Genomic DNA, 20,864 nt, shown 5'->3' with positions numbered 1-20,864 from the left:
GGCACCTTCCGGTGGCGGCGCGGAGCCTTGGGCCCGGCTGCGGCCCGGCGGCGGCCCCGGCGCGGTGCGGGCGTTCGCGGCGCCCCGGGAGCTGCAGGGGCCCCGGGCGGCGGCGAGGCCGGAGAGGGGCGGGCCCGGGACACCGGCACCCGGCGCCCTCGGAGCCAAAGGCGCGCGGCGGACACGGCGGGGCCCTCGCGCGGTGAGGACGCGGAGGCGTGTGGGCTCCTGTCACTTCACACAGCAAACGCTGCCCGCCGCGTGGCTCCGGAGGAGTCTCGCGAGGGGCGCCCCTGTGGCGTTTCGGGCCAGCCGGGCCGCCTGGCCGGGTGCGGAGAAGGAAGCTCTGCCCTTCCCCTGGCCCGGCGCGGAGCCGATTCTCCCGGGAAGGGGCCGGGGGTCCTAACTTCACCGCCGGGCGGCCTGCTCAGGGCCAGGCCCGCGGGGACGCTGGCGTCAAGGTTTCTTCCCCCTTCACGCCAGTCCCCTACCAGGCCGACATCGAGTCCCGCTCCCCAGGGAGGGTCAAGTCCCAGGGGTCCAGCGGCTCCCCCGAGGTCCGCTAGGAGGTGGCGGCACTGGAGTGGCCGTTCTCCAGCCTGCACCGACCCCCGCCTTTAGTGCCCCCGCGTGTGACCCAACGGTGGTACTGGAGCGGCCTTAGAAGGGTGACCGCTGCCTCTGAGTTGAGTCTTAAGCCCCTCGTTGGGCCTGGCTGAACCCCGGGTCTGCGCCTTTCCCCCAGCCTGGAGACGATGCCAAAGCTGCAGGGCTTCGAGTTCTGGAGCCGCACCCTGCGAGGGGCCCGCCACGTCGTGGCCCCCATGGTGGACCAGAGCGAGCTGGCCTGGAGGCTGCTGAGCCGGCGCCACGGGGCACAGCTCTGCTACACGCCCATGCTGCATGCCCAGGTCTTTGTCCGCGACGCCAACTACCGGAAGGAGAACCTGTACTGCGAGGTGTGCCCCGAGGACCGGCCCCTCATCGTGCAGGTGCGCAGGAGGGGCTGTGGCCGCGGCCGCGGTTGGGTTCCCGGTCCTGGAATGCCTGGGGAAAAACCCTTCTCTCTGTGGCGGGACATCACTTTCAGCCTTTCCAGAGACAGCTCAATTCCAGGAGGAGAGGGAGAAGGTGGCACCAGGCATGTAGAGTCCACGTAGCCACAGCAGTGATTCCTGTGGTGGAGCCAGGGCTGCCAGGTGCACCTGCCAGAATCCAACCCCATTCTCTAGGAGTGGCTCAGGCAGCCTGGGTGCTGTGAGGTTTGCAGCCCTGCTGGGGCCTCTGGATTGCTGCCTCTCACACTCACACTCCCTCTTCAGAACCAGTGGAGATGGCTCTGCTCTTCAGAAGTCAGTGATTGTGGCTTCTGCCACAGTTCAGAAGAAAATCTGTAAATCCGGGTGGCTTGGGGACTCCTCCCGGCTTTGTCATATTGTAAGCCTCCGCAGGACAGAGCACCCTCCTGCAGTGAACCTGGGCCCACACCCTCATGGGGTCACACTGGACCTCTCGTAGGGCTGGGCAGCAAGGGACTAGGGCCTGGCTGGGCCCGTGGCTGACTCCTGCATCTTCTCCAGTTCTGTGCCAATGACCCGGAGGTGTTTGTTCAGGCGGCTCTCCTGGCTCAGGATTACTGTGACGCCATTGACCTGAACTTGGGCTGCCCACAGATGATAGCCAAGAGAGGTGAGCTCCATGTGGAGCATGGGGGCACCTGGGGCAGGGGCCAGAGCCAGCTCAGTGCAGCCCCAGGTGTGGTGAGCTTGGAGGACGGCAGGCCCTGCCTCTGTCGTGACAGTGGCTCAGGCTGGAGCCAGCTGTCCTCTGTGCTCCGCCTCTGGAGGGTGGCTGTCCTCAGGCCTTGGGGGCTAGGGGCCGAGCCCTACTGGCTCTCTCTTCCCTCAGGGAGCTCCCTCTGCATAAACATGATTGCTGATACAGGGTCCCCATTACCCCCTTGCACTGCTGTGTGTGGGGCTGAGCCTGCTACCTCACCGGGCCCCTGAGGAGGTGTTACTTGGTTCCAGACCGTGCAGGGTGGGGGTTCCATTCAGCACCTTCTGAGCTTAGGCAGCTGGGCAAATAGAGCCCCTGAGTCTGATGCCGACAAACCACTGCTCTGACTGTCCCACTGCCCCAACTGGAGACACTGCTGGTTCTGGGGACCTGTGTCCCGCCTGACAGGGCAGCTCCTGGCCTGCGTGGATGCAGGAAAGGGTGCAGAGGGGGTGCAAGGCTTCGGCCCCACCAGCCTTAACACAGGTGCCAGCCAGGCCATGCTTGCTCCTTGCAGGTCACTATGGCGCCTTTCTGCAGGACGAGTGGGACCTGCTCCAAAGAATGAGTGAGTTGGCTGGGTGGATGGTGAAGGACCCCCAGAGACCCTCAAGAGGGACACATGGGCACTGTCCACTTGGTTGGGGCTCAGGAGAGGACAGGCGTTGGCAGGAGTTCTCAGCATCACCCTGGGGCTTCCTGCCCACAGCAGCCTCTCTGCTGGAAGGAGGTGGCTGTGAAGTTGCCTGTCCTGCACCACCCACCCCTTAAAACCAGACAGTAGGTGCCAGGGCAGAGTCCTTGCTCGGGCCCAGCCCCAGATGTCCTGGGAGACAGAGCCGGCCTTGGCCCTGCTTGTTTGAACTTCGGAGGGCCGGGGGTATGGCGGAGGGAGCCTGCCCAGCAACCTGAGGGAGACACCCAGATGGTGGCCCGGGCTGCCTCCCAGCCTCCCGGCAAAGCTGCCTGGGCTCCGCTGTCTGCAGGGCCCTGGGCTCTGGGGCTTGGCCGCTAAAGTGGGAACACCATGGCCCCCTCAGAAGCTGCCTCTCTTCTCCCCAGTTTTGCTGGCCCACGAGAAACTCTCTGTTCCTGTCACGTGCAAAATCCGTGTCTTCCCGGAGATTGACAAGACCGTGAGGTACGCCCAGATGCTGGAGAAGGCCGGCTGCCAGGTGAGCCCTGGGCTCGCGGGGGTGTCATGGGCCTCAGCTGGGCCTTTGCGCAGAGGACATAGCTGAGGCTCTTCCTGTGTCCAGACACCGTGCACCGTCGGCCTCATGGGGGCAGTGGCCCTCCTGACTGGCCTGTCCCCACTGGCTCTGAGTGCCACCACCCCAAGCCCAGGCCTCTACAACAGAAACTGCTTTCCTGGCTCCAGGGTTTTGTCCCTGTGGAGAGAGTAATGTCGGCATCTCTGACATATTCCTAGTGTCACAGAGGCCGGCAGGGCCTCCTTTGGGGATACTCAGCATCCAGTCTCCCTAGAGGGTGAGGAAGGGGCCACCAGGCTGTCAGCAGAGCTGCTCCCCTGCCCGTGTTCCCCGCACACTGAGCCTGGCCTGGCGCGGGCCTGGATGGGCTGCTGTCTCCGGGGGTGCCCCTCAAGACACTCACCTTCTGAAGGTGGACAGCAACCTTGGTGACCCGGGGATGAGCTTGCACAGGGGCTGCCAGGCCCAGGACCCACTTTCCCCCCCAGTGCCCCACTAGCCTGGAGTCAGTCCCTCCCACACCTTTGGCCTTGGGCAGTGGGGATGCTGCCACTTCCCGGCCTGGCTCTTGCATGGGCCTGGGCAGCACATGCAGCCTGAGGTTCCCACAGAGTGCAGAGGCCTTGGGGTAGGCCCCAGATGGCCATTCCTCAGCCCTGCTTCAGGAGCTGATATGGTGAGGGAAAGGTCCCTGCAGTCGGGCATGGGGCACAGGGCTGGGAGGGGCAGAGGGGGCTCGGAGGGGTGGAGTAGGGGCAGAGGGGGCGTGGAGGGGCGGAGGGGGCTCTGAGGGGCGGAAGGGGCTTGGAGGGGTCAAGCGACCACTGCTCTGTCCTAGTTGCTGACGGTGCACGGACGCACCAAGGAGCAGAAGGGGCCCCTGTCGGGTGCAGCGTCCTGGGAGCATATCAAGGCTGTGCGGTGAGTGGGTGTGGGTGACACAGCCCTCAGTCCTTGGGGCTTTGCTGGGGGTCCCAGCTCCACACCTCAGGGTGCTCGGCACGCCTGACGCCCGTGACCACCCAGGGGGCCGTGGCTGGGGGCAGCATCACCTGGGTGCTGTTCCGGGCGGGTGGAAACAGGCATTTCTCTGCCAACAGGAAGGCTGTGGCCATCCCTGTGTTTGCTAACGGGAACATCCAGTGCCTGCAGGACGTGGAGCGCTGCCTCCGGGACACGGGTGTGCAGGGCGTCATGAGCGCAGGTGGGCAGGGCCCAGGACAGCAGCCAGGGCCCCATGCACACGGCCTGATACCACCGCCCAGGTCGGTGCCTCCCACTGCCTACTGCCCTCCCCATGGTGCTGTTCACAGATGGTGTTCATCAATCCCAGTCTGCTCTGATGGGCCTGAGCTGGCCTTGTCCCTTGTGAGGTGGCACAGAAGGGTGTCCTGAGTGTCCCAGGCTTTCCTGTGCCGTCCACCTGGAGCAACCCACGAGGTGTCCTTCCCCGCTCCTCCTCCCACAGAGGGCAACCTGCACAACCCCGCCCTGTTCGAGGGCCGGAGCCCTGCCGTGTGGGAGCTGGCCGAGGAGTATCTGGACATCGTGCGGGAGCACCCCTGCCCCCTGTCCTACGTCCGGGCCCACCTCTTCAAGCTGTGGCACCACACGTGAGTTGCCCCCTAAGGCAGAAGCCACGTTGGAGGGCCGCCCAGGCAGATTCCGTCAGACCCCACCTGGGGCATTTTGCAGGTTTTGTCAAAACAACTTGCTGCTAAGTCAGGTCTTGAGGGGCTGGGGTGACTTAGGAGTGGAGTTGGGCAGGAAGAGACACAGGTCCCCGTGTGCCCAGTGCTCAGCCTGGGGCCTGACGGTGGAGCCGGGAGCCCAGCCTGCGTGACAGGGCCTCTGTCTCAGGCTGCAGGTGCACCAGGAGCTGCGAGAGGAGCTGGCCAAGGTGAAGACCCTGGAGGGCATCGCTGCTGTGAGCCAGGAGCTGAAGCTGCGGTGTCAGGCAGGTGCTGGGGCTGGTGGGAGCCCGGCCTTGCAGGGGGTGAGGGGCTGGGGCCATGACCAGGGCCTTGGGCTTTTGCAGGAGGAGATATCCAGGCAGGAGGGAGCGAAGCCCACCGGCGACTTGCCCTTCCACTGGATCTGCCAGCCCTACATCCGGCCGGGGTGAGAGCCCAGCCAGCCCTGGGCGGGGATGTGCACCAAGGTGTGGGCTCCACCCTGTGCCCACAGTGCTGCGCCTGCCCTGCTTGTCCTCAGCCATTATGGTCAGTCATCTCCTGCCCAAGGGAAAGGAGGAGGGAGGCCTCGGCTCCGAGCAGCACACACCTTCCACGTGCCCCTCGGTGTCCTTGGTGGAGGATGCTGGTGGCTCAGCTGTGTCCTCCCTCAGTGGACGCTCGGATTTTAAATCTTTTCTTCCATAACATACTTCTCTGAGCTCCTCTGATCCTGGTGGATTTGCCCGTGGGTCAAGAGGTTGACCCCAGCTTCTGCTGGGTTCTCAGAGGTGAGGCCATCCGTGGCCACAGCCCTCCCTGGAGCTGGTGGTTCAGAGCTTGGGGCTGCCCGAGCTGCGGACTCCATCTCAGAGGCCCCGGACTCCCTAGTGACGAGTCCTGAATGGGCTGCCCGAGGGAAAGGAGGGCACTCCTCACAGCAGCGGCACTCGCCACGGCCGCCTGGCCCCTCACCCAGACTCAGACCCGTGTGGCTGTGGCTGCTGGGCCCCTCTCACAGTGTCCTTGGGCTCTGCCCGCTGCCCTCCCCTCAGGCCCAGGGAGGGGAGCAAGGAGAAGGCAGGTGCGCGCAGCAAGCGGGCCCTGGAGGAAGAGGAGGGTGGCACGGAGGTCCTGTCCAAGAACAAGCAAAAGAAGCAGCTGAGGAACCCCCACAAGACCTTCGACCCCTCTCTGAAGCGTAAGTGCTGCTTCCGCTGATGGGCCCGAGAGAGCCTCTTCATCACCCCCATCCTCCCTGTTGCCAGTAACAGGAACCCAGACTTGTGGTCAGCAAGGCTCAAGGCCCAGAGCTGGAAGCAGACACCTGGAGGGCTTGGCGGAGTAGTCAGCCAGACTTGGGGTCAGAACGGGGACCCTGTGCAGGCCACAGCCCGTGCATGTGGGACATGGGCTCAGTGAATCAGATGAGGCTATGGGACAAGCTTTTCAGCCAGGTGAAGCTCGTCTACAGCTCAGGGCCTCGGGTCCCTGCGGCTGCCCCTGCCCAGCCTCACACAGGACACCTGAGCAGCTGCTGAGAGGGAGGCTGGGGTCCCCGGGAGTGTGTGCATGGGTCTTGTTGCTGGGCCAAAGGCACGGGACGAGGCTGCTCGCCCCTCTCTTAGCCACCAGTGGCAAGGCCTCAGCCTAGTGCTGTCTCCCCTGAGACCCCTGGTCGCCGCCGTATCCTGGGCCAGCCCATCTGGGCCCTCAACAGGTGGCAGCCTCCCAGATCTCTGACAACTTTACAAGCTGCAGGGGAGACCAGCGATAACCCTGAAACCTTCCCATGTAACCCCCAGGGCGCTGGCCAGTCCAAGAGCAGCTGCCACATCAGGCTGGTGCCAGCAGTCCCTGCCTGCCACACTGCCCCCCACCAGGCCACTGAATGAGGCAGCTGGGAGAGGCAGGAAGTGGGGCTTCAGGCTGAATTCTTGATTTGACCCTTCTTGGCCCTTTTGCTTGGGAGACCTGGAACTGAAGGGCATGGAACCCCCCTTGGACCCTGTGGGCAGGAAAACTGCTCCCCTTGTCCCTGCCTGGGGGTAGGACAGATAAGGCTGCTCGTCCTGCGGCGGCCCCCCAGCCCACCTGCTTCCTATCCGTTTCCTGCAGGATGGTGCCCCCTGCATCCCCTCACCCATTGCTCACGGAAGGAAAAGCAGACGTGGCCAGCCTGCATCCTCTGCCCTCCCTGAGCCTCCTGGCCTGGCTGGCCACAGCTGGCATGGACGCCATCAGCAGGCTCCGTGCAGGCGGACGGGGCAGCCCCCACAGCCAGGGCACCCTGGCCCTCACTCACCAGCACCCTTTTGTTCTTTTCCTAGCAAAATATGCAAAGTGTGACCAGTGTGGAAACCCAAAGGTGAGTGGGTTCCGGCTGCAAGCCACCAAGGCTTCAGCTTTGGGGGTGGGCAGGGTGGTCTCTGCACTGCTTGGGGTGGCAGGTCTGGTGCCCGCCCAGCTGGGTTTGCAACGTGGCTCAAGGTGGCATGGATGCCTCAGGACGGCCCCTTGCTTCCAGCCAAGCCCCTGCCCAGGCCTGGAGGGGAAGAGAGTCTGGGTGGGTGGGGGTGAGGGAGAGGCATCTGGCTTGGGAGCAGTTCCCAGGGCTGCATCCAGGCCGTGGGCATCTGGCAGAGGCTTCCCCAGTGGGGCTGCTCCCCTGCTGGCCAGCCTGGCCCCGGGAGTGGTGCTGGCCACAGGCTCCCGAGATTTCCTGTGCCCAGGGCAACAGATGTGTGTTCAGCCTGTGCCGCGGCTGCTGCAAGAAGCGAGCCTCCAAAGAGACTGCAGACTGCCCAGGTGAGGGCGCCTACCACCCGCCCCGCAGCAGGCAAACAGACCCCCTCCGCCTCCTGACCCCCGACTCCTCTCACTCGCTCTGCCAGGTCACGGATTGCTTTTTAAAACCAAATTGGAGAAGTCTCTGGCCTGGAAAGAGGCCCAGCCTGAGCTGCAGGAGCCTCAGCCAGCAGCACCTGGAACACCAGGTGGCTTCTCCGAAGTCATGGGCAGTGCCCTGGCCTGAAGGCCCACAACCCCCACCCCCAGGACTGCTGCTGGAGCCTGGACACGTCCTACTTAAGAAAATGCCTTTTACTCAGGGAATCTCCTGCTACTTAATGTGGAAAGACACGCCCATGTCCCCCTTCGGCCCACTCTGGGGGCCTGGAAATGCTGCAGTGGGGAGCAGGCCCCAGGCTGGACCTGCCCTGTCCTCAGCACGCGTGTGCAAAAGTGAACAATAAATCATTTCAAAGATGCGAGAGCCCACAGCCTGTGACCACTGCCCTCTCAGACCCAGGGAGGCATGAGCCGGGGCAGGTGCGGTTGGGGCCAGTGGGGGCTTCTGAACAACAGGATACATCTAAATGAAGGCAGCATCTGGGTAGACAAAAGTGGGGGCTTAGGTCCCCTCCCCACCTCCCCTAGGCGCCTCCATAGGCAAGTGGCCAAAGCCTCCGGGAGCTTCGTGATGCCTCACAGCCTTGGAAGCACCGCCTGCGAGGCCACAGTGGCTGCTGCTGGGGGCTGTTGAATCTGAGGGCCAGGCTTCTCATTTCTCTCACCAGGCCCTGCCTCCAAGCCTAGTCCCAGGGAGACAGCCCTCAGGAACCCAAGGCCACCCAGGGGTGACCAGAGCCTGCACGGCAGGAAAGAACAGCCAAGAGCAACGCTGAGTCTGCTCTTTAATGGACACCGCCCACTTGTCTGCACCTGACTGAGGCGGGAACAGGAGGGGTCTGGGAAATGGTGCCACTGGGCCTGGGTGCCGCACAGTCTGCTCCCTGGGGACAGAAACCCACAGGGTCGAGCCCTGCAGGCCTCTCCTTCCAGGAAGGGCCACAACTAGCAGCCGCCTGCCTCCTCAGCCCCAGGGAGGGCACACAGGCTGGGTGGCACCCAGTGGCCAGGCCCCTTAGCTGGGCCGCAGGCAGCACTGAGCCGCCTGGAGGTCCGAGGTCCGTGGAGGTGGGGAGGGGGTGCAGATGTCCTGGAGGCCAAGGTTCACCCCTCACATGTTGGTGCTCATCCGGGACTGGCTGTTGGCTGGAGTCAGCTCCCCCTGGCTCCCTTCTCTGGGCGGGGACTGCAGGGGAGACAAGGAGCAGCTCACAGCCACCAGGCCCCACACGCCGTGCGCCTGCCCCCCCTCAAGCCAGCCCACCTTGACATGGATCTGGTTGCGGAGCACAGCTGCCCGCAGCATCATGGCCTTGGCGCGGCGCTGGAACTCCTTGCCCATCAACAGAGACTTCTCAAAGGTGGTGCTGCGCTGATCCACGTCCCGGGCGTATAGGATCTGTGCAGGCACAAGCTCAGCGGGGCCCAGGCTCACCCCCAGCTGCCCCCACCGCCCCGCAGCCCACAGCCACCTTGCTGTGTGAGTCCACACGGGCACTGATCAGCCCCTCCAGGATTAGCTGCGTCAGCTCGTCCTCCAGGGCGGCCACCGTGGTATTGAAGGCTGCCGCCATCCTATGCATGTCGGCTGACACGTAGGGGCTGAAATACTGCAGGGCAGAGGGAAGTCAGCTCCACAGCCCCCTGCATGCCCGCCTGCCGTGTGCCAGCCTGACCCCCACGCTTACCTGGATGAGGGCACGGTTGCGAATCTGGGTGTACAGGGTCCTGACATGGGGGGCCAGATACATGTCCAGGAGCAGGTTGTCCTGGGGAAGGGGCTGGTCAGGACCAGGACAGGAGGCCAGGCAGGGCCCCACCTCACCCCTACCCCAGGCGGGGCCCACCTTCATCTCGTCCAGCATCTTGAGACATGAGGCGTACTTGGACTCGTAGAATTTGAAGATGATGTCTCGGACCTGTGGCTCCAGCTCCAAGAACAACTTGAAGGAGCTGGTGAGGCAGACCCCTCAGAACTCTGTCCTCTGCCTGCCCCTCCCTCCAAGTGGCCAGTGGGACACCAGTCCCCAGACAAACACCTGAGAAAACGCTGGGGCCAGGGGGCCAGGACATGCAAGGCCGAAGCAGCAGCCACGGAGAGGGACGGGGACAGCCTTCAGGGCTGCAGGACCGGGGCACCTACCTGCTGGAGATGACATTGCGCTGCAGCTCCTGCCGGTCAAAGGTAGCCAAGGCGCACAGGCCACCGTAGATGGCCACGTTGCTGGGGGACAGCAGCTGAGGAGCAGAGACCTGGCGTCACAGGCAGTGAAGGGCCAGGCCACCCCTGCCTGCCCATCACCCGCTCGGAGAATGCCTAAGACCCCATTTGTGAGAGACCTCACCCTCCTACAGAAGCAGCCTGACCCATGAGCCCATGCTCTGCCTCCCAAGTCCCCAGAGGGCTCCTCACCTCAGGGAAGTCACAGTGATCAAAGGAAGCCAGCAGGAGGCACTTGGCAGCCTGCTTGTACTTCCTGGCGGCCAGCTCTGCCAAGCCTAGTGGAAGGAGCCGGGGGCGGGGAGGGGGGAGAGGGGGTAAGACCCCAGAGCCTGGGGAAGCCGCTAACGCCTGGAAACCAGGGAGAACGCGACCACCAGCCGGCTCGCTGGCCTCTCCTGCCCCGGGAGCTGTTCCTCAGCGCTGGGGACAGATACTCTAGTCACGGGTGGAAAGAGCCCCACCAATGCTGAGGAGGCTCCCTGAAGCCAGGCATGCAGGGAAGCCCTAGGTGCTAGCAGGGCTGCAAAGGACACCCCAGTTCAGAGCAGCTCGGGCTGGCAGACCTGCCTCACGCCCACAGTGACAGCAGCCAGACCCTGACCACACGTCACCCACTGGCTTCCCCGGGGCAGACTTTAGGCACCACCTACACCTGTACATGTGCCCACAACATCCTGCGCCCTGCCAGGGAAGTTTTCCCTGGCTGAGGCAGGGACCAGCCTACTGCCCTGGGCTGGGAGGACTTAGCAACAGGGGAACGTGGGGTCAGCTGGGCGTGACCCAGGCCCTCACCTGCGGCACACTTGAGCTTGGTGAGGATGGCCTGGGTCTGGCTGTCACGCTCTCCTCGCTGCTGTAGGAGGAAGCCACATGCGTGAGGCCCATGCTCCACATTTCCTAGAGCTCGATGCCCAGCCCCCAGACTGAGAGGGGATGAAGGCAGATTCAGATCTGGGGGAGAATGAGGTGGGGGAGGACAGGAGGGGCCAGCAGTGGTCAGGAATCCTGGGGGCAAGGTCTCTGAGGAGGTGGCCCGTACCTCGGCAATCTCTGGGGTGGACTCAGCCTTGCTGACGTAGCTGAGCACATGAGACCAATTCTGCAAGTAGACGCTGACCTGGCGGGGGGGCGCAGAGCCAAGTGAGCCCGGGCGCCCCAATGGCCCAGCCATGCTGCCCACCCCCGCCCGCCGAGGCAGGCCGACCTTGATGACATTGAGGCACATGTTGATGACGTGTTTGGCGCTGGTGCAGTAGTCCCGGGCCCGGGAATAGCACTTGAGGGCGTTGCTGAGGTCCCCACAGTCCAGGTAGTGGTCGCCCAGGTCGTCGTGGCCGCGCCGGATGCTCTCTTTGATGGAGTTGCCCTTGTAGTTCTTCAGGTCTGTGTCCAGCTTCTCCAGCTTCAGCAGCGCCTTCTTCCGCGTGGCCTCCACCCAGGCCGTGTCCAGGGCTGGGGGCTCCACGCCGCTCTCAGGGATGGCGTCGGGTGCGTTCTGCAGCTCCCTGAGAGAGGACCTGGCCATCAGGATGGCGGCGGTCACGGGGGCCAGGGAGGAGGGGAGGAAGCCGCCAATCTCAGGCTGCCCTCAAAGGCCCAACCGGCACACAGGTGGGCACCTCCCGCTGGCCTCAAACCCCACCTCTAGGGACCAGTCTGCACCAGGGCCACAGAGAGAACTGCTGCCCCAGGAGCCTACAGCCGGGTGGGGAAACCAGCAGGGAGGCGGCCCCTGAGCCACAGTCTCCAACAGCTCCCCTTGGAATCAAAGCCCTGCATGCACACACACAGAAGCCACACACACACAGGGCACTTCCACTGCTGGCCAAAAGAGAGCGAGAGCTCTACCCGCCCGACTTCCCAGCACAGGGGTGGGAGATGCAGGGCACAGGAAGGGGGCCCAGTCCCAGACACCCGCGCTCCCTTGGTGGCCTCTGCTTCCTCTCGCCAAGCCCCTGGCCTCACCTGGTGGCCTCTGAGAGCTTGCGGTGGATCTCCTCGTACATGTCCACGTTAAAGGTTCTCTGCACGAAGGAGAGGGCCATCTTCAGGGCCTCCACCCGCAGCGTGGGGCAGTGATCAGCAATGAACTGCAGCCGTTCGATGCGCATCAGGCCGCTGTAGCTGGCCGCGTACTGTTCCAGATCCTGGGAGCAGGCACAGACAAGAGTCAGGCAGGATGGGAGGCAGGACCCTGGCCCCAGGCCCTGAGGGTCAGGAGTTGGGGCCTGACTGTCCTAGCCAGAATGTCGCCCTGGGCCCATAACCAGAACCGGGCATGGGGGTACGAGACTGACTGCTGTCCCAGGAGCTACGAAGACCGCTGGGGTGGGCCTGGCGCAGGAGCCTCAGGAGTGGGACCCTGCACCCGGGGGCTTTCGGGGATAGACACCCACTAGTGACTGCTGGTCGCTAGGCTGAGCGGGGAGGAGACCTGCCCTGGCTTCTCCATGAGCAGCATCTGAAGCTGAGCTACAAGCCTCATGTGAGTGCGCAATCAGAAACGCTGATGGTTTCGGGGTCAGAAAAAGACGACAGCGATCACTGAGGAGGATCATTCTACCTGCTGTGCAGGCTGCAGCGGGGAGTGTGCCCTGGACCCCTCAGCAGGACTGAGACACCCAAGGTCCCCCCACTGGGCTCCGTACCAGGCTGGGGTTCTCCACCACGTAGTTGACGTCAGGTGCATTCTGCGGGTCTTCCTGGGGGTCCACGTCGATCTGCATGGGCTCCACGGCCCCCTGCAACATGGGCCAGGCACCTGGCACCTCGTCCTGGGGACTGCCCCAGGAGGGCGAGAGACCCGCACTGTTCTCTGAGGTCAGCTCTGCCCAAGATCTTCCAGGCCAGTCGGACCACACTCCCGCCGCTGCTGTCCCCCAGGTGTGCCCTCCCAGTCACCCCCGCCCCCACCCAGGCTCCTGTGCCACCACATCAGGGAGGGGTCTCCTCACAAGACTCTAAGGCTCAGAAGCAGAAACCCCTCGCCTGATTCTAGCCGCTCATCTCTGAAAGCCAGAAAGCAGACAGGGGACAACCAACTACACAGGGGCCTCTGAGGGCCCCTACACGTTCCCAGCCACCATCCTGATGTAGTTTCCTCCAAGCCACGGAGAAGAACGGGACGCCACCTCAACCCCAGGAGGCAGGAGGACCAGCCCCCGGAATCTGTCCTGAGCAGCGGAGCAGCAATACTGGGCTGAGAGTCACGCCACGGAGTTGGGAGAAGGGGAAAAGAGTCATCTCAGGGAGCCTCATGGCCCCCAGCTGGGAGACACAGAGAAGCCAGGACCTCGGCTTAACACAAAGCAGGCTGGAAAAGCCGCCATGCCGGGCACTCGCCGGACCCGTGGGCCTCCCGCGCTCCTTCGGGAAAAGCACCAAGAGCTCGGCTCCCTCCGCAGGCCCCGGGCCCACCGGGGCTCCCTCCCCTCCTGCGCTTGGCACTGAGTCCCTGTCCTCGGCCAGCAGAGCAGCAGGGGCCCAGCCACAGCAGGGGCGGCCGGGGCCCTGCTCCCCCCTCCCTCGCTCGGGGGTCCCTGTCCTGGAAGGTACCTCGTAGAGCAGCGTACAGGCCGACAGGCTGGCGCTCAGGCTGAAGTCCCCGGCCGTGCCGGGCAGGACGAGGTCTGACCTACTGCTGTGAGGGGTGCAGTACAGATCTGTCACTGACGAGGAGGCCGAGCTGGGGGCCGAGCTATCCCTCATTCTGTCCTGACTTTCTGCACCCCCCGACCCTGACACAGAGCTGGCTGGCTGCTGAAGGGAGAAAGAGCGTTAGCGTCGGGGCGGCCGGGAACCTCTCCCGTGAGCTGCTGGGAGGGGAGGCGGGGCGGGCGCGGCCCGGCGGCCCCCGATCGCAGCGCGCAGCCACGGCGGAGACGCGCCCTCGGCCCTGCAGCCCCCGACGCGCGCTGCCCGCGGAGGCCCGGCACGGAGCGTGCCCGACCGACTCCTGGCGCAGGCCCCGCGCCCCTGCTCGACCTCAGCCCGGCCCCAGTGGCGGGGGGCGCGGGGGCGCGGAGGCCCGGGGCGGCCTCGGCTCGTTACCTGCAAGTTAAACACCTGAACCGGCAGCGGCATCTTGCACCCACCCCGCCGCGGCGTGCCGTCCACTTCCGGGGCAGCGAAGCCGTCGCTTCCGGGGCGCGGGGCGGGGCGGGGCCGCTGCGTTCTTAAAGGGGCCGCCGCCCACCCACGGCTCCGGCCAGGTTCTCCGCTCGCAGCGCCGGGGGTCCCGGCGGCCGCATGAGCCGCGCGCGTGGGGCGCTGTGCCGGGCCTGCCTCGCGCTGGCCGCGGCCCTGGCCGCGCTGCTGTTACTGCCGCTGCCGCTGCCCCGCGCGCCCGCCCCGGCCCGGACCCCCGCCCCGGCCCCGCGCGCGCCCCCGTCCCGGCCCGCTGCCCCCAGCCTGCGGCCTGACGACGTCTTCATCGCCGTCAAGACCACCCGGAAGAACCACGGGCCGCGCCTGCGGCTGCTGCTGCGCACCTGGATCTCCCGGGCCCGCCAGCAGGTGCGCCGGACCCCGACCCCGACGGCGAGCCCCACGCCCACCCGCCCCGCCTCCCAGGGTCTAGGCCCGGCCCAGGCCCCCGGAGGCTCCGCGCGGGGCGGGTCGGTCTCCGGCCTGGGCAGCGCCCCAGAAGCCTCATAGATTGTTTCTCCCCCAGACGTTTATCTTCACCGACGGGGACGACCCTGAGCTCGAGCTCCAGGGCGGTGAGTGTCCCCCACTCCCCGGCGCCCGCGGGATCTGCCCCCCGAGCCTTTCTCGCTCCGAAGCCACGGCCCCTTCGCTGCTGTGGGTGCCTTTCTCTGCCCAGGCTCCCGAGGCCCGGGGAGGCCCCGACGCTGCCCAGGTCACGCGGCCTGCGGAGGGCCCACCCTGCCAGCCAAGCTCTGCTCCCCACCAGCCTCTCACACTAGCCGCTTCCCGGGGCGTGGGGCTAGTGCCACGTCCCCTGAAGAAGCGCCAGCAGGGAATCCGCCCTTCCAGGCCAGGTCAGGGCGAGCTGCCTCCGTCCTGTTTCCACTCAAGAGATCCCAACCGATGGCCGCCTGCTTCAGCCTCGGTGGCACCAGCAGGGTCAGCGCGTGAGGGCTAGGGCTGTGGTTGGACCCAGGCAAGGTGTCCAGGCATGTCAGACAGCCACGTTGTGCCCTGGCCCTTGGGGGCAGGTGGGGCACAGGCCTTACCCCAACCCCAGTGCCATCCTCTACGTGCGTGCTTCCCGTCTCTGATTCGCAGGCGACCGTGTCATCAACACCAACTGCTCGGCGGTGCGCACTCGTCAGGCCCTCTGCTGCAAGATGTCCGTGGAGTATGACAAGTTCATTGAGTCCGGGCGCAAGTACGCGGCGCTGACCCGACCCGCAGAGAGCTCAGAGCCAAGCTGGGTGGGGGCCTCCTGTCCAGCCATGCCAGGCCCTCGTGCCCAGGACTCCCCTCGCCCACAGGTGGTTTTGCCACGTGGATGATGACAATTATGTGAACGCCAGGAGCCTCCTGCACCTGCTCTCCAGCTTCTCACCCAGCCAGGACGTCTACCTGGGGCGGCCCAGCCTGGACCACCCCATTGAGGCCACCGAGAGGGTCCAGGGTGGCAGAACTGTGAGTGTCGGAGCAGACGCCATCGGAGCAGACGCCTTCCTTGACACCAGCCCGGGAGGCACAGCAGAGGGCGTGGAAAGCTGGCTTGAGAAGGGCATAGGGTTGGGGGCCCAAGCTGATCCACCCAGGTGGTTTGCATGTGGTGTTTCAGGAGCAGGCCAGGAGGCCCTCACCGTACTGGGCAGAGAGGGGGTGTCTGGGCCAGGTGGGGAGGGTCTGGAGGCTACGGGTCAATGGCCTGCAGAAGCCCCCGGCTCTTTTTGCTCCAAGAAGCTTCTGTTACCTGGGTGGGATCTCCTAAGGGGCAGCTTAAGAAAGATGCCTGGGGAGTCCCATGAAGAGTCAGGGGTGAGAAGCCCTGTCCTGGGCAGCTCTGACCACCACCCCATCTTCAGGTGACCACGGTCAAGTTCTGGTTTGCTACTGGTGGGGCCGGGTTCTGCCTCAGCAGAGGCCTTGCCCTCAAGATGAGCCCATGGGCCAGGTGAGTGGGGGTCCAGCTGCCCGGGCTGGGAGGCGGAGGCTGAGACCTGAAAGGTGCTGACCGGCCTCCCCCCAGCCTGGGCAGCTTCATGAGCACAGCTGAGCAGGTGCGGCTGCCGGATGACTGCACAGTTGGCTACATCGTGGAGGGGCTCCTGGGCGCCCGCCTGCTGCACAGCCCCCTCTTCCACTCTCACCTGGAGAACCTGCAGAGGCTGCCGCCCGACACCCTGCTCCAGCAGGTACAGGCGCCACTCTGGGTGCCTCTGCCACCTGGGCTTTGCCCCGCCCTGACTCCCCCAGGGGCCCCACTGCCCCGGCCCGATGCCCGGCTGAGCAGGCAGGTGGGATTTGCATGTGGCTGGGGGTGGACCCTGGACAGGCCCCTTGGCCTGTTGGACACAGGGTCCTCACGTACAGATGGGGTATGGTGTCTGGGGCAGAGGAACGAGGGGAGAAGCACAGTTCTCGGGCCAGTGAGGCCCCATGCCAGCTGGGCAGTGGGTGTGGTGTGTATGGTGATGGTGAGTCGGAACAGGTCCCATCACGTGGAGCAGGGAGGGAATGAGGGTCAGCTTTGCCCTGGAGGTTTCAGATCCCTATCTTCTGTCCCCCAGGCTCTGCCTGAGGTGTCCCCCTACTCAGCTCATGCCATGCTTCAATGCTGTTTCCAAGCCTGGCCTCCCCGAGGGCCTGGGGAGAGGGGGTGGGCAAAGGGGCTCTAGCAGGGCTCCTGGCCAGGGGCAGGCGTGGCCCGAGACCAGACCAGGCCACACACTCTGCCCACACCCTTCCCTCCCAGGTTACCTTGAGCCATGGGGGTCCTGAGAACCCACATAACGTGGTGAACGTGGCTGGAGGCTTCAGCCTGCATCAAGACCCCACACGGTGAGTAGGTAGTGGCATGGGCAGGCCCTCGGCCCCGCAGGGGCTCTGGCATCAGCTCCCTCTACCCACGGCCCTGACCCCCGCTGCTCCCTCCGCCCACGGCCCTGACCCCGGCTTCTCCCTGTACCCACGGCCCTGACCCCAGGTTCTCCCGCCGCCCACGGCCCTGGCCCCCGCTTCTCTCTCCGCCCACGGCCCTGACCCCTACTTCTTCCTTCCCCAGGTTTAAGTCTATCCATTGTCTTCTGTACCCAGACACGGACTGGTGTCCCAGGCAGAAACAGGGCGCCCCGACCTCTCGGTGACACCAACCACCCCGACCCAGGGCTGCCTGGCTCTGTCCCAGGCGCGGGGAACCAGAGCCCCCTATGGGCTCAGTGGGCTCCCTCAGGTGCCACGGCCACACCAGTGAGATGCAGGCACCTGGCAGACCCTCTGGCTAGCCTGCAGCCCCCCCTCTCCCAGCCCCTGGTGGGCTGCGGTGATGGGTGTTTTGGGAGAACGAAGACAGCCAGGCTGATGGCCAGGGCCGCAGTGCCCCTCCCCCCGACCCAGCCCCAAGGTTGATCCCACGGGAACAGGCTTCCACCCCAGCACTTGCGCACCTGGGAGGGAGCTGCCATCCGGGCTCCATTACCTGTTGCTGAAGGCGGGTGCTAGGCTGGCTGGGTGTCAAGGAGCAGGCTCCAGGCCAAGGTCCTGGCCCAGCCACGGCCATTGCAAGGGCTCAGCCTGGCAGGCTTTGTGGGGGACGCCGCCCTCTCTGCCGCAGGCTGGGTGCACGGCCGGGCACCACAGTGGGACTCAGGCCCGGGAAGGTCATGTTCTCGACCAGAGCTTTGCTCCCAGTCCAGGCGCCTCATTCGGAGGCCTCTTGACTGGGACCACAGAGATGTTTTCTCCGCTCTGACTTGTGGCTCAGGACTACTTTCTGGGTCGTGCTCCTGCCCCACTGTGCCTGGGCCCATAAACAACAGGAGCCTTTTGTTCCGCTGACCTGCCCATCCCAGCAGACCCACCTCCCCGCCTGGTGCCTTCCATGGAGGGAAATGGGACAGGGGCCGTCATCTCCCCTCTGCCTCCTGCTTTGCTGTTGCCGAGCACGAGTAAAGCTTTTGTTCTTACTTCACGTGGCTCCTGTCTTAGTCACCCACCGGCCCAGCTCTCCTCGGGTCCCTGCCATATCCCCCTTCTACCCCAGGAAGGCTCTGTCCCAGGCAGGGCTGTATCCTTGCCGTCCTGCCCACCCAGCCTTGAACCCACCAGACTCTTCTTTGGAAGCCAAAATCTCCAGCAGAGGTGGCGTGCGAGGGTCCCGCCGGGAGGGACGGACACTGGACGCTGCCCTGAGAGGCCGCCTTCCTGAGCATCGTGCTTGCCTCCTCCCGTGTGTTGTGTGGAGCCAGGTGCACGTGGGTGTGTATGAGGGTGGGTGTGCGTGGGCGTGTACACGAAGCTCAGTGGACACATTGAGAGTGGGTGTGTACGTGCATGTAGGTGAGTATCCACCCGTGTGTGCGTCTGTGTGCATCAGTGGGTGTGTGCGTGGCAGTGTCTGCGTGCGTGGGTGTGTGCACTTGTGCGTGGGTGTGTGGAGGGCAAAGAGGAGGCACCCACATAACGCGCGTGGAGTTCGCTGGTTTCTGTCTCATTTGTGCTCAGCCTGGAGTAGAAGGCACCCCAAGGAGACTTGAGGTTAATCATGACTGGGTCCTCAGCCAACAGCCCAGGCCCTTGGCTTTGTCCACTGCAGGCTCTGGGCTGGGAGAGGAATTCTGGGGCTCAGAACAAGTGTCGGGTGAATTTCAGCAAGTCTGAAACCTGCATTTCAACAGAAACGAAAGAAAAGCGAATTCTTGAAAATTGCTGCAGAACTGTAGACGTCCCCTGCGTCCCCTGCGTCCGCGGTGGGTCTGCCCGCGTGGCCTCGGGGCCTCACGCTGGCTCTCCCGGATGCACGGTCTGGGTGTTGCGCTTTTCTCTGACCTCATGTGGACCTCCCTCCCTCCTAAGCCTGCGCCACACGGTCCCGGCATCCTGGGAGTGGGGAACGTGGACTAGAGTGCGTTCACGCCACCAGAAAGGGTGTCTAGGGACAAAGTGTCCCCAGTGGGTTGTTTCCAGGGCATGAGGCTCTAGCAAATCTTGGTGCACACACGCTTTCCGGAAGAGTCCAGCTTGCAGGTCCTCTGAGAATATAATGTTGTATCCGTTTTACCTAAACTCCGTCAACACTAGTCTTAAAACCTAAAGCCTGTTACTGCTGTCTAACGGAAAGGAGATGATCATTCATGTTTAAGCCACACTCTAAGGTTGCATAGTGCCTGGTCCGGGAGGTCACCCTGTCTCATTTATCCTCCCCATTTTTTTTGGCCTAAGTTCAGGTCCACGAGGTCCTGAGGCTTTTCTCCTAAGTGACCAGTTACGCTGCTCCCTTTTGTATTGTTGGGTTATGTTTATAAACGTTTCAAACCAGCAGTTTTCCGCTTTGATTCAAATAACCATTCCCGGGCAGGACCAGTCCCAGGCTCGCTGTTCTGGGCAGAGCCCCTGGCCGTCCCAGGCCCAAGTCCCTGCTGGACCCAGTTGGCTCCAGCTGCAGAGAGTCAGTGTGGACAGGGGTGAGGAGGGAACCAGGGGCGGCCACCCCTCTGGAGGAAACAGGGCTTGGAGGAGCAGGGGGGCTCTAGGGGGCCGGCCTGGTAAGAAGCAGCCAGCCAAGGTCCCATAGGCAGGTGCTGTTAGGCCCGCAAGGCAGCGACGTGGTCACAGGCACAGGTCACGTGGGGTGTGTCATGGTACCTGATGAGACAGTGTCCACACTCAGTGGACACCTCCCTTCAGCCCTAGGAGTTTTGAACAACACAGGAAACCACCAGCTCCAACATGTCCAGAGAGCACCTCCCGACAGCAGCAGAACACATGCTCTCCTCGAGCGCACGAGAACTTTGTCCAGGAGAGGCCAGATGTTAGACCACAAATCAAGTCTCAGTGTGTTTTGAAAGATAGATACTAAACCCTGTCACAGTGGCACGAGCCTATAGTCCCAGCACTTTGGGAGGCCGAGGCGGGAGGATCACTTGAGCCCAGGAATTCCAGACCAGCCTGGGCAACATAGGGAGACCCCCATCTCTTAAACAGAATAAAATGTATTATACAAAGTTTCATCTCTGAGCCCACAGCAGAAGGAAATCTGGAAAAGTCACAAATTTGTGGAAATGTAACAACGCACTCTTAGCCAGTGGGTCAAGGAAGAAATCACAAAATACCTGGAGACAAATAAAAACAACTTAAAACTTAGGAGATACCATTTTGCTGAGGGAGATATTTACAGTCGCAAACGTTACATTAGAAAAGAGGCTACTCTGGGCCACGCTGCCTGTGGCATGGCCCTGCTCTGTGTGGAGCCGCTTAAAAATAACACTAAAATAGGCCGGGCACAGTGGCTCACGCCTGTAATCCCAGCACTTTGGGAGGCCGAGGCGGGCAGATCATGAGGTCAGGAGATCGAGAGCAGCCTGGCTAACACGGTGAAACCCCGTCTCTACTAAAAATACAAATTAGCCGGGCGTGGTGGGGGGCGCCTGTAGTCCCAGCTACTCAGGAGGCTGAGGCAGGAGAATGGCTTGAACCCGGCAGGTGGAGCTTGCAGTGAGCCGAGATCGCGCCACTGCGCTCCAGGCTGGGCGACAGAGCGAGACTCCGTCTCAAGAAAATTAAATAAAATAAATAATAAAAATTTAAAAAATAATAATACTAAAATGAGTATAAATGCTTGAGGGGGTGGACACCCCATAGTCCGTCATGTGTGTCTGTCACACTGCATGCCTGTATCGAAACATCTCAGGTACCCCATAAATATATATGCCTCCCATGTACCCACAAAAATTTTAAAAAATAATAAAATAATAATTAAAAGAAAAAAGAGGCTAGGCATGGTGGTTCATCCTTATAATCCCAGCACTTTGCAAGGCGGAGATAGGAGGATCACCTGAACCCAACCTGGGCAATTTAGCAAGACCTTATCTTTACAAAAAAAAAATTGATAATTAGGCACGGTGGTGTGCCCGTGTAATCCTA

General features: G+C 63.5%; 3 protein-coding genes across 75 annotated transcripts, besides 8 other annotated features; 2 read left to right on the top strand and 1 right to left on the bottom strand.

Moving 5' to 3' along the window:
* Positions 10-79: a silencer, noted in NCBI's record as "silent region_9189". NCBI's record gives its function as "represses an Ori minimal core promoter by ATAC-STARR-seq in GM12878 lymphoblastoid cells {active_cell/tissue: GM12878}" and the evidence as "EXISTENCE:reporter gene assay evidence [ECO:0000049][PMID:35858748]".
* On the top strand, positions 11-8,309 carry DUS1L (dihydrouridine synthase 1 like). Of its 13 annotated transcripts, none has more exons than XM_005256394.3 (14): positions 11-202; positions 746-992; positions 1,581-1,689; positions 2,297-2,347; positions 2,842-2,954; positions 3,832-3,914; positions 4,094-4,197; positions 4,462-4,606; positions 4,854-4,950; positions 5,032-5,114; positions 5,722-5,867; positions 6,997-7,034; positions 7,407-7,474; positions 7,561-8,309. In XM_005256394.3, exons 2-14 carry the CDS (start codon positions 756-758, stop codon positions 7,577-7,579), a joined length of 1,293 nt encoding a protein of 430 aa, XP_005256451.1. In that variant the 5' UTR covers positions 11-202; positions 746-755; the 3' UTR covers positions 7,580-8,309. The 13 variants fall into 13 exon arrangements, 12 of the variants coding, with proteins under 12 accessions (XP_005256451.1, NP_071439.3, XP_024306639.1 ...); NM_022156.5 differs by having other exon boundaries at positions 7,399-7,474; XM_024450871.2 differs by having other exon boundaries at positions 4,094-4,258; positions 4,861-4,950.
* Positions 370-419: a silencer, noted in NCBI's record as "silent region_9188". NCBI's record gives its function as "represses an Ori minimal core promoter by ATAC-STARR-seq in GM12878 lymphoblastoid cells {active_cell/tissue: GM12878}" and the evidence as "EXISTENCE:reporter gene assay evidence [ECO:0000049][PMID:35858748]".
* Positions 643-1,371: an enhancer, noted in NCBI's record as "H3K27ac-H3K4me1 hESC enhancer chr17:80022320-80023048 (GRCh37/hg19 assembly coordinates)". NCBI's record gives its function as "activates a minimal SCP1, AML or CMV promoter by ChIP-STARR-seq in naive H9 embryonic stem cells {active_cell/tissue: H9 hESC(naive)}" and the evidence as "EXISTENCE:reporter gene assay evidence [ECO:0000049][PMID:30033119]".
* Positions 8,310-8,344: 35 nt separating the features above from the next.
* Positions 8,345-14,883, bottom strand: GPS1 (G protein pathway suppressor 1). Of its 60 annotated transcripts, none has more exons than NM_001394760.1 (14): positions 14,291-14,350; positions 13,356-13,559; positions 12,449-12,541; positions 11,766-11,947; positions 11,005-11,317; positions 10,840-10,917; positions 10,593-10,653; positions 9,990-10,075; positions 9,720-9,814; positions 9,424-9,529; positions 9,265-9,345; positions 9,049-9,186; positions 8,841-8,975; positions 8,345-8,762 (listed from the first exon to the last, which is right to left on the bottom strand). In NM_001394760.1, the coding sequence occupies exons 2-14, from the start codon at positions 13,506-13,508 to the stop codon at positions 8,688-8,690; spliced, it is 1,596 nt and encodes a 531-aa protein (NP_001381689.1). In that variant the 5' UTR covers positions 13,509-13,559; positions 14,291-14,350; the 3' UTR covers positions 8,345-8,687. The 60 variants fall into 60 exon arrangements, with proteins under 60 accessions (NP_001381689.1, XP_047291803.1, NP_001381690.1 ...); XM_047435847.1 differs by having other exon boundaries at positions 11,005-11,305; NM_001394761.1 differs by having other exon boundaries at positions 10,593-10,650; positions 11,005-11,305.
* Positions 13,610-13,739: a silencer, noted in NCBI's record as "silent region_9187". NCBI's record gives its function as "represses an Ori minimal core promoter by ATAC-STARR-seq in GM12878 lymphoblastoid cells {active_cell/tissue: GM12878}" and the evidence as "EXISTENCE:reporter gene assay evidence [ECO:0000049][PMID:35858748]".
* Positions 13,610-14,469: a biological region, named in NCBI's record as "H3K27ac-H3K4me1 hESC enhancer GRCh37_chr17:80009332-80010001".
* Positions 13,690-14,359: an enhancer, noted in NCBI's record as "H3K27ac-H3K4me1 hESC enhancer chr17:80009332-80010001 (GRCh37/hg19 assembly coordinates)". NCBI's record gives its function as "activates a minimal SCP1, AML or CMV promoter by ChIP-STARR-seq in primed H9 embryonic stem cells {active_cell/tissue: H9 hESC(primed)}" and the evidence as "EXISTENCE:reporter gene assay evidence [ECO:0000049][PMID:30033119]".
* Positions 13,800-14,049: a silencer, noted in NCBI's record as "silent region_9186". NCBI's record gives its function as "represses an Ori minimal core promoter by ATAC-STARR-seq in GM12878 lymphoblastoid cells {active_cell/tissue: GM12878}" and the evidence as "EXISTENCE:reporter gene assay evidence [ECO:0000049][PMID:35858748]".
* Positions 14,004-17,913, top strand: RFNG (RFNG O-fucosylpeptide 3-beta-N-acetylglucosaminyltransferase). 2 transcript variants are annotated; one of them, NM_002917.2, is made up of 8 exons: positions 14,004-14,315; positions 14,473-14,521; positions 15,051-15,153; positions 15,260-15,413; positions 15,809-15,897; positions 15,973-16,138; positions 16,699-16,784; positions 17,008-17,913. In NM_002917.2, the coding sequence occupies exons 1-8, from the start codon at positions 14,049-14,051 to the stop codon at positions 17,087-17,089; spliced, it is 996 nt and encodes a 331-aa protein (NP_002908.1). In that variant the 5' UTR covers positions 14,004-14,048; the 3' UTR covers positions 17,090-17,913. The 2 variants fall into 2 exon arrangements, with proteins under 2 accessions (NP_002908.1, XP_011521889.1); XM_011523587.3 differs by lacking the exons at positions 14,004-14,315; positions 14,473-14,521 and adding an exon at positions 14,784-14,803.
* Positions 14,320-14,469: a silencer, noted in NCBI's record as "silent region_9185". NCBI's record gives its function as "represses an Ori minimal core promoter by ATAC-STARR-seq in GM12878 lymphoblastoid cells {active_cell/tissue: GM12878}" and the evidence as "EXISTENCE:reporter gene assay evidence [ECO:0000049][PMID:35858748]".
* Positions 17,914-20,864: the final 2,951 nt, after the last annotated feature.

This window comes from Homo sapiens, chromosome 17, assembly GCF_000001405.40.
Source record: "Homo sapiens chromosome 17, GRCh38.p14 Primary Assembly".
NCBI classification, from domain to species: Eukaryota; Metazoa; Chordata; class Mammalia; order Primates; family Hominidae; genus Homo; species Homo sapiens.
This window is presented reverse-complemented; position numbering and strand designations above follow the sequence as displayed.

What these genes read in the sequence shown, in the direction of transcription:
- DUS1L (XM_024450868.2), top strand. Translation starts at nt 756, where the DNA reads ATGCCAAAGCTGCAGGGCTTCGAGTTCTGGAGCCGCACCCTGCGAGGG. An exon ending in CAGCCCTACATCCGGCCGGG is followed by an intron (nt 5,115 to 5,721) that starts GTGAGAGCCCAG and finishes CCCTCCCCTCAG; the next exon opens with GCCCAGGGAGGGGAGCAAGG. An exon ending in CTTCGACCCCTCTCTGAAGC is followed by an intron (nt 5,868 to 6,996) that starts GTAAGTGCTGCT and finishes TTCTTTTCCTAG; the next exon opens with CAAAATATGCAAAGTGTGAC.
- GPS1 (XM_005256350.2), bottom strand. Translation starts at nt 13,883, where the DNA reads ATGCCGCTGCCGGTTCAGGTGTTTAACTTGCAG. An exon ending in CCTGTACGCTGCTCTACGAG is followed by an intron (nt 12,542 to 13,355) that starts GTACCTTCCAGG and finishes CCCATGTTGCAG; the next exon opens with GGGGCCGTGGAGCCCATGCA. An exon ending in AAGCTCTCAGAGGCCACCAG is followed by an intron (nt 11,318 to 11,765) that starts GTGAGGCCAGGG and finishes CCTGATGGCCAG; the next exon opens with GTCCTCTCTCAGGGAGCTGC.
- RFNG (NM_002917.2), top strand. Translation starts at nt 14,049, where the DNA reads ATGAGCCGCGCGCGTGGGGCGCTGTGCCGGGCCTGCCTCGCGCTGGCC. An exon ending in TGAGCTCGAGCTCCAGGGCG is followed by an intron (nt 14,522 to 15,050) that starts GTGAGTGTCCCC and finishes TCTGATTCGCAG; the next exon opens with GCGACCGTGTCATCAACACC. An exon ending in TTCATTGAGTCCGGGCGCAA is followed by an intron (nt 15,154 to 15,259) that starts GTACGCGGCGCT and finishes CCTCGCCCACAG; the next exon opens with GTGGTTTTGCCACGTGGATG.